At 36.7% G+C, this 14775-nt stretch overlaps 1 protein-coding gene across 15 annotated transcripts in view; it reads right to left on the bottom strand.

Annotated features, from left to right (window-relative positions):
- Positions 1 to 14775, bottom strand: part of RBMS3 (RNA binding motif single stranded interacting protein 3) — a 729325-nt gene that overhangs the window by 21695 nt on the left and 692855 nt on the right. For all 15 annotated transcript variants that reach the window (XM_005265061.3, XM_017006180.2, XM_017006179.2 and 12 more), the window contains one exon: positions 478 to 558. In XM_005265061.3, the coding sequence (XP_005265118.1) occupies positions 478 to 558 (81 nt within the window). The remainder of the gene's footprint in view (positions 1 to 477; positions 559 to 14775) is intronic.

Raw genomic sequence — 14775 nt, 5'->3', positions numbered from 1 at the left:
TCCTCCTGTCTCAGCATCTCAAGTAGCAAGGATTACAGGTGCATGCCATCATGCCCAGCAAGTCTGCATTTCTAACAAGCTCTCAAGGGATACCAATGATGCTGGTCTAGGAACCACTCTTTGAGGAACAAGGCATTAGAGAATTAGTTCATTCACATAGTTGCAAACTTTTTTCCTTTTATAAGAAGTATTTGTGATTAAAATTTGATGGAGTTGTGATTTGGCCTCTGGAATTTTCTCTAAATATGAAAGAGACTCCCGTCGTGCCTCCATAGCAGATGAGCTCATTTCATGTGCAAAGCAAAACACAGCCACATTCAAGTAAATGTTTATACTTTCATACACTGAATTTACAATGTCATATTTTAGAGTAGCACAAAAATTGCAAGTGAGGATTCCTATGGTTATGGGGGACTACAGTATATGTGACTGAGATTTATTTCTTCTAACCTCTTTATTAGACAGGGGTAGACTTACTTCAATAGAAACAGCTGTCGGAGGCACAGGCGTGTACTGAGGAATGTAGGTCCCTTGCATAGGAGCAGCAGCAGTCATATACTAGAGAGAATCAAAGAAAAATGCATGTGAACTTTGAGCTGCAACCAGTGAGAAAATTATTAAATACCACAGGAGACTGCTTTAGCTATGGGGCCCATAGCCAGTGTGTATTTTTTCCCAGCTCAATTTTCACTAAAAATAAGGCAGCTCCTCTCTGTATTGAAAGGCCTTTGCTTGCTGATTAAGTACCCACAGTAGCCCTACCTCTTAATTATCAATATGAGTTAATTCACCCCCATTTCCTCACTTTGTCCTTTTACACATTCTATTCTAAATAAGATCTCAAACATTTCACATTTCACATCTAAACACAAACTCCAGGAGAGTTGGGGATGATGTCTCTTTTTTACTCTCTTTTATTGCTAGCACCTATCACATAGTAGGCTCTCAACAAGTACTTGTTGAATGAATGATCATATAAATGGTTAGTAATATTTATTTTTTGAATTTAAAAAAGCAGCAAAGTAATGTAATAGTTATGTGATACATTGGCATTATTGGCAAATGTCATTTTTTCATTTTTGCATCACTTTTTTAAATATAAAAAAATGGAGTATTACAGATAATATTGAAGTCTCTATTGTTCCCTTCTCCCATTTCATTCTCATATCAGTGTTAAAATTTCCTTTCCAATACCTTTAATTCACCAGATTTTTCTTATCGGGATGAATAATGAAGCCAAATCATTTTTTGCTAAGTTGTAGTAGTCAATAAATTATGTATTGAGGATAAGTTGTATTTTTGCAATGAAGAAAGGGAGCCCCAGTAAAACTACATGTTCAGTTACATAAGCATAAAGTATGACCCATATTCATAACACACATATTCATCCTGCACCTTCAAAGTTCTACTCTTCAAGAATTGAATTTTCTATGGAATCAACTATGTTTCTGAGTTTCTGAACTTCACCAATAACACAAAACATCAAAACTGGAATCATCAAATAAAGACAAGTTTTCTCAATTCATAAAGTTTAGAGGAATGATTTTTTGTGGCAAATCAAAAGCTCCTGATTATTTTACTAAATTTGCTGAGATCAAATACTAAGTTCATGTATCAATATGAAAAAGCTAAATTACTGTTTTGTGTATCTTAGTATATTCAGTATTTAAGAGGCATGCTGATTCTGAATCAAGGAAAGCATCTGAACACTAGTCCATCTTTTCTTTTTCTTTGTTGTTGTTGTTTTCCTCCTCTTTTCAAACTGGGTTTCATTCTGTTGCCCAGAATGGAGTGCAGGGGCGTGATCTTGGCTCACTGCAAGCTCTGCCTCCAGGGTTCAAGCGATTCTCATGCCTCAGCTTCCCCAGTAGCTGAGAGTACAGGTGTGTGCCACCACACCTGGTTAATTTTTGTATTTTTAGTAGAGACAGGGTTTTGCCATATTGGCCAAGCTGGTCCTGAACTCTTGGCCTCAAGTGATCCACCTGCCTCAGCCTCCCAGAGTGCTAGGATTACAGGTGTGAGCTACTGTGCCCAGCCAGCATCTGCCTTTTCAACAAGATTACTCTATAGAGTATGTTGTAGATAACAGTTCCCTGGACATTTCAGATAGGTAATTTGCCTCTGCTATATAGGTTCTAAATATCCTTTAATTTAGCCCTTTTTACAATATATTCCTTGGAACACTAGCTATACTGAGAGTAAAGCTTTCTGTGTTCCAATGTATTTCAGCAATGCTGCCTGATATATCCTCTTCTTGATATTGACATATGATTAAACTGAGAAATCGTGTTTTACAGAAGAAGCCTATTAAAGGTGATAAACTAGTATTTCTAAAACTTTTGTTTTGATTTTGGTATCATTAATTAGTTTTGCTTAAAACTACTACTCTAAGAAATATATTCTGGAAAATGTTTCTTTAATTGAATCTCAAAAATCTAGCAGATTTATAGCAAGTGAGAATATATTTTTATCAACCATGAATTTAATTAAGTTCAGAATTGATAGATTTGTGGCTCATGTTCTGCCCTTTGGTCATGGGTTTCCAAGGTTTACTATATACTAGTAAAAGGACAAATCCTTACCTATTTGAGTATTTCCTATTCTAAAGTTAGTAATTCTAAACTTTGCAACTTGCCCAGTAAGTTAGTATGTGTATCCTTTGCATAAGAGGATGTCACTGGCACCCTCTGTAGAATACTACTCTGGTCCATCCCCACTCCACTCTCTACATCTCTAAGAAGAAATTCTGTGAATTAGAGGTCATTAGAAACATGACTTGTGGCCATATACAGCAATGTTCACTAGTTCACATGAGTATCTATTCCATTATTTAGACTTTCCTTGCCAAACTGGAGTTCCTAGGTAGTATGGTTAATAAGCATTGGGGGTAGTTGGCAAGACGGATGAATAGGAACAGCTCTGGTCTGCATCTCCCAGCAAGATCAATGCAGAAGGCGGGTGACTTCTGCATTTCCAACTGAGGTACCTGGCTCATCTCATTGGGATTGGTTAGATAGTGGGTGCAGCCCAAGGAGGGTGAGCCGAAGCAGCGTAGGGTATCGCCTCACCTGGGAAGCACAAGGGGTTGGATAACTCCCTCTCCTAGCCAAGGGAAGCCGTGAGGGACTGTGCGGTAAGGAACATGCATTCTGGCCCAGATACTATGCCTTTTCTCACAGTCTTCACAACTGGCAAAACAGGAGATTCTCTTGGGTGCCTACACCACTAGGGCCCTGGGTTTCAAGCACAAAACCGGGCAGCTATTTGGGCTGCTAGATGCAGCTTTTTTTTTTCATACCCCAGTGGCACCTGGAATGCCAGTGAGACAAACCATTCACTCCCTTGGAAAAGGGGCTGAAGCCAGGGTGCCACCTCTACGGAGCCCAGCAAGCTAAGATCCACTGGCATGAAATTCTTGCTGCCAGCACAGCAGTCTGAAGTCCACTTGGGATGCTGGCGCTTGGTGTGGGGAGGGGTGTCTGCCCTTACTGAGGCTTGAGCAGGCTGTTTTCCCCTCACAGTGTAAACAAAGCTGCTGAGATGTTCAAACTGGGTGGCAAAGCCACTATAGTCAGACTGCCTTTCTAGATTCCTCATCTCTGGGCAGGGCATCTCTGAAAGAAAGGCAGCAGCCCCAGTTAGGGGTTGTAGATAAAACACCCATCTCCCTGGGACAGAGCACCTGTGGGTATGAGTGGCTGTGGGCGCAGCTTCAGCAGACAAATGTTCCTGCCTGCTGGCTCTGAAGAGAGCAGCAGATCTTCCAGCACAGCGCTTGAGCTTTGCCTCCTCAAGTGGGTCCCTCAAGTGGGTCCCTGACAGACTGCCTCCTCAAGTGGGCCCCTGACCCTCATGCCTCCTGACTGGCAGACACCTCATACAGGCATCTGGTGGGTGCCCCTCTGGGACGAAGCTTCCAGAGGAAGGAACAGGCAGCAATATTTGCTGTTCTGCAGCCTCTGCTGGTCATACCCAGGCAAAGAGGGTCTGGAGTGGACCTCCAGCAAACTCCAGCAGACCTGCAGCAGAGGGGCTTGACTGTTAGAAGGAAAACTAACAGAAAGGAATAGCGTCAACATCAACAAAAAGGACATCCATACAAAAAACCCATCTGAAGGTCACCAGCATCAAAGACTAAAGGTAGATAAATCCATGAAGATGAGAAAAAACCAGTGCAAAAAGGCTGAAAATTCCAAAAACCAGAATGCCTCTTCTCCTTGAAAGGATCACAACTTCTCGCCAGTGAGAGAACAAAACTGGACAGAGAATGAGTTTGATGAATTGACAGAAGTGGGCTTCAGAAGGTGAGTAATAGCAAACTCCTCTGAGCTAAAGGAGCATGTTCTAACCCAATGAAAGGAAGCTAAGAAACTTGAAAAAAGGCTAGAGGAATTGCTGACTAGAATAACCCGTTTAAAAAAGAACATATATGACCTGATGGAGCTGAAAAACACAGCATGAGAACTTCATGAAGCATAGACAAGTATCATTAGCCAAATTGATCAAGTGGAAGAAAGGATATGAGAGATTGAAGATCAACTTAATGAAATAAAGCATGAAGACAAGATTAGAGAAAAAAGAATGAAAAAGAATGAACAAAGCCTCCAAGAAATATGGGAGTATGTGAAAAGACCAAACCTACGTTTGACTGGTGTACTGGAAAGTGACAGGGAGAATGGAACCAAGTTGGAAAACGCTCTTCAGGATATTATCCAGGAGAACTTCCCCAACCTAGCAAGACAGGCCAACATTCAAATTCAGGAAATACAGAGAACACCACAATATACTCCTCAAGAAGAGCAACCCCAAGACACATATTCATCAGATTCACCAAGGTTGAAATGAAAGAAAAAATGTTAAGGGCAGCCAGAAAGAAAGGTCATGTTATCCACAAAGGGAAGCCCATCAGACTAACAGTGGATCTCTCTGAAGAAACCCTACAAGCCAGAAGAGAATGGTGGCAAATATTCAACGTTCTTAAAAGAATTTTCTACCCAGAATTTCATATCCAGCCAAACTAAGCTTCATAAGCAAAGGAGAAATAAAATCCTTTACAGACAAGCAAATGCTGAGAGATTTCATCACCACCGAGCCTGCCTTACAAGAGCTCCTGAAGGAAATACTAAATATGGAAAGGAAAAACTGGCACCAGCCACTGCAAAAATATATCAAATTGTAAAGACCATGGACACTATGAAAAAACTGCATCAACTAATGGGCAAAATAACCAGCTAGCATCATAATGACAGGATCAAATTCACACATAACCATATTAACCTTAAATGTAAATGAGCTAAATGCCCCAATTAAAAGACACAGACTGGCAAATTGGATAAAGAGTAAGACCCATTGGTGTGCTGTATTCAGGAGACCCATCTCACATGCAAAGACACACATAGGCTCAAAATAAAGGAATGGAGGAATGTTTACCAAGCAAATAGAAAGCAAAAAAAAAAAAGGGGGCGGGGGTTGCAATCCTAGTCTCTGATAAAACAGACTTTAAAACAACAAAGATAAAAAAAGACAAAGAAGGGCATTACATAGTGGTAAAGGGATCAATACAACAAGAAGAGCTAATTATCCTAAATATATATGCACCCAATACATGAGCACCCAGATTACTAAAGCAAGTTCTTAGAGACCTACAAAGAGACTTAGACTCCCACACCATAATAGCGGGACACTTTAATACTCCACTGTCAATATTAGACAGATCAATGAGACAGAAAATTAACAAGGATATTCAGGACTTGAACTCAGCTCTGGACCAAGTAGACCTAATAGACATCTACAGAACTCTCCACACCAAATCAACAGAATATACATTCTTCTCAGCACCACATCTCACTTACTCTAAAATTGACCACATAATTGGAACACTCCTCAGCAAATGCAAAAGAATGGAAATCAAAACAAACAGTCTCTCAGACCACAGTGCAATCAAATTAGAACTCAGGATGAAGAAACTCACTCAAAACTGCACAACTACGTGGAAAATGAACAACCTTCTCCTGAATGACTACTGGGTAAATAATGAAATGAAGGCAGAAATAAGTAACTTCTTTGAACCAATGAGAACAGACACAACGTACCAGAATCTCTGGGACACAGCTAAAGCAGTGTTTAGAGGGAAATTGATAGCACTAAATGCCCACTGGAGAAAGCAGGAAAGATCTAAAATCGACACCCTAACGTCACAATTGAAAGAACTAGAGAAGCAAGAGCAAACAAATTAAAAAGCTAGCAGAAGACAAGAAATAAATAAGATGAGAGCAGAACTGAAGGAGATAGAGACATTAAAAACCCTTCAAAAAATCAATGAATCCAGGAGCTGGTTTTTTGAAAAGATTAACAAAATAGACTATTAGCCAGACTAATAAGAAAACAGAGAAGAATCATATAGACACCATAAAAAATAATAAAGGGGATATCACCACTGATCTCACAGAAACACAAACTACAATCAGATAATACTATAAACACCTCTATGCAAATAAACTAGAAAATCTAGAAGAAATGGATAAACTACTGGACACATACACCCTCCCAAGACTAAACCAGGAAGAAGTCGAATCCCTGAATAGACCAATAACAAGTTCTGAAACTGAGGCAGTAATTGATAGCCTACCAACAAAAAAAGCCCAGGAGCAGATGGATTCATGGCCGAATTCTACCAGAGGTACAAAGAGGAGCTGGTACCATTCCTTCTGAAACTATTCCAAACAATAGAAAAAGAGGGAATCCTCCCTAACTCATTTTATGAGGCCGGCATCACCCCGATACCAAAACCTGGCAGAGACACACACAAAGAAAATTTCAGGCCAATATCCCTGATGAACATCAATGCAAAAATCCTCAATAAAATACTGGCAAACTGAATCCAGCAGCACATCAAAAAGCTTATCATTATGATCAAATCAGCTACATCCCTGGGATGCAAGGCTGCTTCAACATATAGAAATCAATAAATGTAGTCCATCACATAAACAGGACCAATGACAAAAACCACATGATTATCTCGATAGATGCAGAAAAGGCCTTCAACAAAATTCAATAGCCCTTCATGCTAAAAACCCTCAATAAACTAGATATTGATGGAACGTATCAAAATAATAAGAGCTATTTATGACAAACCTACACTCAATGTCATACTGAATGGGCAAAAGCTGGAAGCACTCCCTTTGAAAACAAGCACAAGACAAGGATGCCCTCTCTCACCACTCCTATTCAACATAGTATTGGAAGTTCTGGCCAGGTCAATCAGGCAAGAGAAAGAAATAAATGGCATTCAAATAGGAAGAGAGGAAGTCCAATTGTCTCTGTTTGCAGATGACATGATTGTATATTTAGAAAACCCCACCGTCTCAGCCCAAAATCTCCTTAAGCTGTTGAGCAACTTCAGCACAGTCTCAGGATACAAAATCAATGTGAAAAAATCACAAGCATTTCTATACACCAATAATAGACAGAGAGCCAAATCATGAGTGAACTCCTATTCACAATTGCTACAAAGAGAATAAAATACCTAGGAATACAACTGACAAGGGATGTGAAGGATCATTTCAAGGAGAACTATGAACCACTGCTCAAGGAAATAAGAGAGGACAAAAACAAATGGAAAAAAACATTCCATGCTCATGGATAGGAAGAATCAATATCATGAAAATAGCCATATTGCCCAAAGTAATTTATAGATTCAATGCTATTCCCATTAAGCTACCACTGACTTTCTTCACAGAATTAGAAAAAACTACTTTAAATTTCATATAGAACAAAAAAAGAGCCTGCATAGCCAAGACAATCCTAAGCAAAAAGAACAAAGCTGGAGGCATCACAATACCTGACTTCAAACTATACTATAAGGCTACAGTAACCAAAACAGCACAGTACTGGTACCAAAACAGATACATAGACCAAGGGAAAAGAACAGAGGCCTCAGAAATATGCCATACATCTACAACCATCTATCTTCGACAAACCTGACAAAAACAAGCAATGGGGAAAGGATTCCCTATTTAATAAGTGGTGTTAGGAAAACTGGCTAGCCATAGGCAGAAAACTGAAACTGGACCCCCTCCTTACACCTTATACAAAAATTAACTCAAGATGGATTAAAGACTTAAATGTAAGACATAAAACCTTAAAAACCTTAGAAGAAAACCTAGGCAGTATCATCCAGGACATAGGCATAGGCAAAGACTTCAAGACTAAAACACCAAAAGCAATGGCAACAAAAGCCAAAATTGACAAATGGAATCTAATTAAACTAAAGAGTTTCTGCACAGCAAAAGAAACTATCATCAGAGTGAACACGCGACCTACAGAATGCGAGCAAATTTTTGCAGTCTATCCATCTGACAAAGGGCTAATATCCAGAATCTACAAGTAACTTACACACATTTACAAGAGAAAGACAACCTTATCAAAAAGTGGGTGAAGGATATGAACAGACACTTCTCAAAAGAAGACATTTGTGTGGCCAACAAACATATGAAAAAAAAGCTCATCATCACTGATCATTAGAGAAATGCAAATCAAAACCACAGTGACATACCATCTCACACCAGTTAGACTGGGGATCATTAACAACTCATGAAACAACAGATGCTAGAGAGGATGTGGAGAAATAGGAACACTTTACACTGTTGATGGAAGTGTAAATTAGTTCTACCATTGCGGAAGACAGTGTGGCAATTCCTCAGGGATCTAGAACCAGAAATACAATTTGACCCAGCAATCCCATTACTGGGTATATACCTAAAGGATTATAAATCTTTCTACTGTAAAGACACATGCACACATATGTTTATTGCAGCACTGTTCACAATAGCAAAGACTTGGAACCAACCCAAACGCCCTTCAATGATAGACTGGATAAAGAAAATGTGGCACATATACACCATGGAATACTATGCAGCCATAAAAAGAATGAGTTCATGTCCTTTGCAGGGACATGGATAAAGCTGGAAACCATCATTCTCAGCAAACTAACACAGGAACAGAAAACCAAACACTGCATATTCTCACTCATAAGTGGGAGTTGAACAATGAGAACACATGAGCCCAGGGAGGGGAACATCACACACTGCAGCCTGTCAGGTGGTGGGGGGCTAGGGAAGGGATAGCATTAGGAGAAATACCTAATGTAGATGACGGGTTGATGGATGCAGCAAACCACCATGGCACGTGTATACCTATGTAACAAACCTGCACATGTATCCCAGAACTTAATAATAAAGTAGCATTTTAGGTGAATCTTAGCTAAACTTCTTCAAATGACACTTATTTAAAACTCCATCTGCATTTTGTTTTAGTAAAACTGAATCAGAGTATCTTTACTTCTTTCATGACATTCAATAAAGTTGTCAACATGACCAAAACTGAACTGCCTGTCATGCAATTCACAATCAACTTCTCTTCAGAGCAACACTGAGTCAAGCAAAATGCTTTACCTATTTTACAGATGGAGAAATATAGGTTCTTATATAACGAGGATAAACTCCAGTTTTGTCATTGTTGTTGTTGTTGTTGTTGTTGTTTCTTTCCTTCTCGTTTCTTTTTGTTTTAGAGGCAGTCTTGCTCATGTGGCCCAGGCTGGAGTACAGTGGTACAATCATAGCTCACTGTAACCTCAAACTCCTGGGCTCAAGTGATCCTCCCGCCTCACCCTCCCAAGTAGCTGGGACTACATGCATGCACCACCATGCCTAGATATGCTTTTTTACTTTTATTTTTGTAGAGACAGGGTCTTGCCCAGACTGGTCTTGAACTTCTGGCCTCAAGTATCCTCTGGCCTCTGCCTCCCAAAATGCTGAGATTACAGGTGTGAGCCCCCACGCCCAGCCCCCAGTTCTTCTGACCTAGTATTCAGCACACTTTTCAGTCTACTTCATTATTTTTGAAGTAAATAAGGTCTTAAGATCTTCCTTCTGATCATTTTTATGTAATATAGGTATTAACTTGTTTTAATGGCCTTTAATAATTTAAGTAAGAAATATAGAAACATGCCATTGATTGATAATTTTAGTTTTTTTTTGTTTTTTCCATTTTTTTTAACCTTCACTTTATATTCAGACAACCTAATTTTCTTCCAGGCGAGCTACCTTAAATACTTGGTAACTTACTTTTATGTTTCTTTTCTTAAAATAACCAGTAGAGATTTAATAGTATAATTGAGATTAGCTCAGTTCAATGTGTTGTATGTGTGTGTATCTTTTAATGAAAAAAAATCTTTCTGCTTGCTTTTTTTTTGTCACAGAAAACCTAACAGAACTTGAAATACTTGTTTGAAAATTAAGAACAGGTTATTTTAAACTAATCAATGCTATGGAGTTTTATGTCCCTTAAGACTATTATCTCTGGGTAAACATTTTTGTATTACAGTTCTTCTGTGGTAGACATACACTTTCTAAGGTAAATCCTCAGGAAGTGACAGTCTTGTGAAATTAGGAACAAGTATTTACAGGAATTGGCCATAGCTATGTGTAAGCTCAACTCCCAGCTTTAGGTAATTGGTGACAAATAACTCTGAACTTTCTCTGCAAGCACATAGTTTGATTTTCTTCAGAGCACAGATGAACTACAGTCAGACTTAATAATACAGCCTGCACAAACACTGGTTAAATCTGGGTGCCTCAGAGACTGCTTTCATTTTATCCAGCTAATAAATGGCAGAGGACTAAGAGAACGACCTGTGATATCAATTCTGCCCTTTTAACTTGATAAATTCTCACAGATTACTTATTGAAACCACAAGAATAGATGTATATTCTTAAGCTTTTTTTTTTTTACTAGAGCCTCACAAAAGCTAGAAAATATCTGCAATAATTATTTCATGAACACAAGTTTTTTATTTTGCATATTTCAGATATAGGGGTTAATGGGGACCACGGCACAATGAGATGACATATATTAATCCATACAATATTTCCTTGTATATTCACCAATGCTATAAGTAGCAGCTTGAACTTATAGCATTAATGAATATATATGTATTTGGTAAACAGCTTGATGGTTTTTACCTATTATGAAATCATTAGATTTTCACATGTGAATGTGTAGGAGCACTGAATAACCATTTTCAAACCCACAGAATAAATTCCAGACTCCATGCCTTGTTCCAAAAAGTCTAGACACTGCATCACCACGGTGTTGTGTGAAGAAACAAAAAAAAATTGTAAAATTGGAACAGAACCGTGTTTTTGCCTATTTCAGTTGGGACAAATGGTTTCTATTAGTGTGGAATCATTGATTATTTCTGTGGAAACAAACAAAGAAAACCCCAAATTATTAGTTCTAGATTTACACTCTTTTCCTCCACTAAAGCAAAACAAAACAAACATATTTTATATATTTCCTGTGAGGAAACTTTTTATTTTAATTATTTATAGAGCCAGGGAGGGGCAAGGAAGTTCCTGCATTTCAATATTTGAAATTTCAGTTTTTGGAATTTCCTAAAATAATTGATCAAACTAATTTGAAGTTATCATTGTACCATTTAAATTTTAAATTGGTGCTTCCAGTCCTTGCTATAAAACTGATGAAGCTGGTTAACGAATTTCAGAAAGGAGAGTTTTTCAGGTCGCATCAAACCCGGAAAGTCAATGAGAACAATAGAGGGAAGTTGTAAAAATGCACCTCTGAAAGGAAGTTGAACAGAAGAAAACAAAGCTTGTGCTAGATGATGCTAAGAGCATGCCATGTGAGTTACTTTCAAAAGCAAGTAGTTCAAAATTTCTTTTAACAAAGAAAGCTTGGGGATATAGGGAGTAAACTGAGTTACGATTTGTCAGAGTTGAGTGAGTAGCTGAAGGAGAGGAGCGGTATTACCTCAAGCAGAGGTATTCCACACTTTTGAGGGTCACATTTTTAGATTTGCATAATTCTATTATTTCTGAATTGAGGCACAATGTCTGAACCTGGTTTGGCAAATTGATACCATTTCACATGCTTGCTTTGATTAATTAATTAGTAATATCTGCCTCAAGTGAAATTCTAAGAATGTTTTATATGTCATCATGTCACTCAAGGGATGAGAGACCATGCACAGAGAGGAGGAGATCTTGAGATATTTTCCTTGAGCGTCGAGTGTCCCTACTAGGGCATGGAAAGGATGGACTCCTACCTGGACCCCTACTGTTCAGTTCTTCCTATATTCTTTCTACTTCTGTCAGTGGAATGTATAATGGATAATGAACTAGATCTCTATCCAGACTAGTAACAGTGTATGCATTCATAATGCTTTATATTAGTTTTAGTATATAAAGGAGGCTATTTGCTTAAGGTACTAATATAGAAATAACAAAGTAGACAGTTATAAATGATGAAATGATCATCCAGGAGGTGAATACAGAGCAGGATATACTTCTACTGGGAGTGAAAGTACTTAAAGAAGGAAGAAGGCCAGTTAGTGGGCTTGACAGGTATATTATTCCATTCAGTCTCCCAGAATATCACTAAACATAACCCACAGATAACTGTGCATTAAACTATTAAAAAAGAAATACAGAGAATTATTGTATTCGGGAGTGAGGGTCATTTGCTAGTGGCATACAAAATTGTATCTCTATAAGTCAACAAGAGAAAATTAAAATGAAAATTAAATACTACATATATATATATCATCAAAAACCAAAATAACTAGAAATATGAGAGAAGGCAATGAAAACTTCTATATTACAAATTAGAAAATCTTGATGAAAGAAATTAAATAAGACCTAAATATATTCAGAGATATGCCACATTCCTCAATTAGAAGACTCAGTCCTCTTAAAGTGTAAATTTTCCTTACAAATTGCAATCCCCATTGAAATTCAAGCAGATTTCTTAGTAGAAATAAACAAGCCCATTCTAAAATTTATATGGAAATACAAAGGACTTAGAATGTGGAAGAAATTTCTGCAGGCAAAAAATCAAAGTTGAAGCATGTATACTACTAGATATCAATAGTTACTGAAAAGTCACAGTAATTAAGATAGTGTGCTTAGTGTCATATTGCAAGAATAGAAAAATAGACTAATGGAACAGAATAGAGAGACTACAAGGGATCTCACTATATGATTTCTTAGAACTGCATGTGAATATTCAATGATCTCTAAAAATTTTATTAAAAAACAAGACAATGAAAAATTTATATATATAGTTGATGTAAACGATAATATGCATATTAAAACATGATTGATCTCACTCACTGGTCATTAGAAAAATGCAAGTTAAAAATATTATGATATAACACCCTACTCCAACCAGACTGGCAAAAATGAAAAAGGCTCACAATACCAAGTGTTGGTAAGGATGTGGACAATAGGAACTCCTATATACTGCTAGTGGGAGTTTAAATTGTAAAATTGTTTGGCATTGTCAATTAAGCAGAACATTTGCAGAACTCATGACCAAGCAATCACACTCCTATGTATGTATCAACAGAAATTCTTACAAATATACACCAAAAGATAAGTATAACATATTTAAAGTAAAATTATTTATAATGATTCTAAGCTGGAAGTCACCTAAATTTCATCTACAGTAAAGTATATAAAATATAAAGCATATATAAAATATATAAATATATAAACGTATTTTATATATAAAATATATAAATATAGAAATGTATTTTATATATAAAATATATATAGAAACATATTTTATATATAAAATATATAAATATAGAAACGTATTTTATATATAAAATAAATATAGAAACGTATTTTATATATAAAATATATAAATATAGAAACGTATTTTATATATAAAATATATAAATATAGAAACGTATTTTATATATAAAATATATAAATATAGAAACGTATTTTATATATAAAATATATAAATATAGAAACGTATTTTATATATAAAAATATAAATATATAAACGTATTTTATATATAAAATATATAAACGTATTTTATATATAAAATATAAAACAATGAGAAACAAAGTGCTCTATAAATATGGATGGGTCTCACAGATACAATGTTGAATTAAAGAAGGCAGACATAAAAGGTTTTACACTGTATTATTCCATTTTTCTTAAAGCTTAAAAATAAGACAAATTTATGGCAATGGAAATTAGGATTTTTTTATACTTTTGTGGGGATTATAAAAGGGGCAGGAATATAAGGGAGGTTTCTGTGATAAGACCCTTTTATATGTTGATGTGGATGATGGATCCATGAATGTTTACACTTTGTAAAATTTATTGAGCTGTAAATTTGTGAATTGTGTATTTTTTCTGTACATGTGTTATACTTCAATAAAAGAGCTTTTAAAAAACTGACAGAAAACAAAAAATAATGACTTTAGATAAGAACAGGGGCAATTTATTCATTCAAAAGGATACAATTAATAGATTCAGATGTGAAAAGATTGGGAGATTTGTAAGGTACCAACGTTCTCTTTTCATCATTTCTATATATGAAGCAAGATGTGAGGTGAAAATGAAAGGTGGTGGGCTTGGCAGTGAGAAAGAAGGTATAAAATGGTTGTCTTGAAGAGCAGGAGAGTGAATGGACCAGGGTTATGTAATAAGATTTCTAGGAAGTGTTGAGGTAACATTTAAGTCTTATGGTTACAAAATCAAGGTAAAGACCGTCAACATAGTGGCATTTTACTCTAGCCATATCCAGCTGTTCAAAAGAATGGAGCAGTCTGAGAATGGAATACAAGTGAGATCCAAGTTTTACTGGAAGAAGATGATGGAAGAAGAGTTAGCCAGGGTAGGTGAAGCACAGGAAAGACAGTGATTACTATCTTTTACTATGGAATCTAAGTTAGA

This window comes from Homo sapiens, chromosome 3 (genome assembly GCF_000001405.40).
Source record: "Homo sapiens chromosome 3, GRCh38.p14 Primary Assembly".
In the NCBI taxonomy this organism is placed as follows: domain Eukaryota; kingdom Metazoa; phylum Chordata; class Mammalia; order Primates; family Hominidae; genus Homo; species Homo sapiens.
This window is presented reverse-complemented; position numbering and strand designations above follow the sequence as displayed.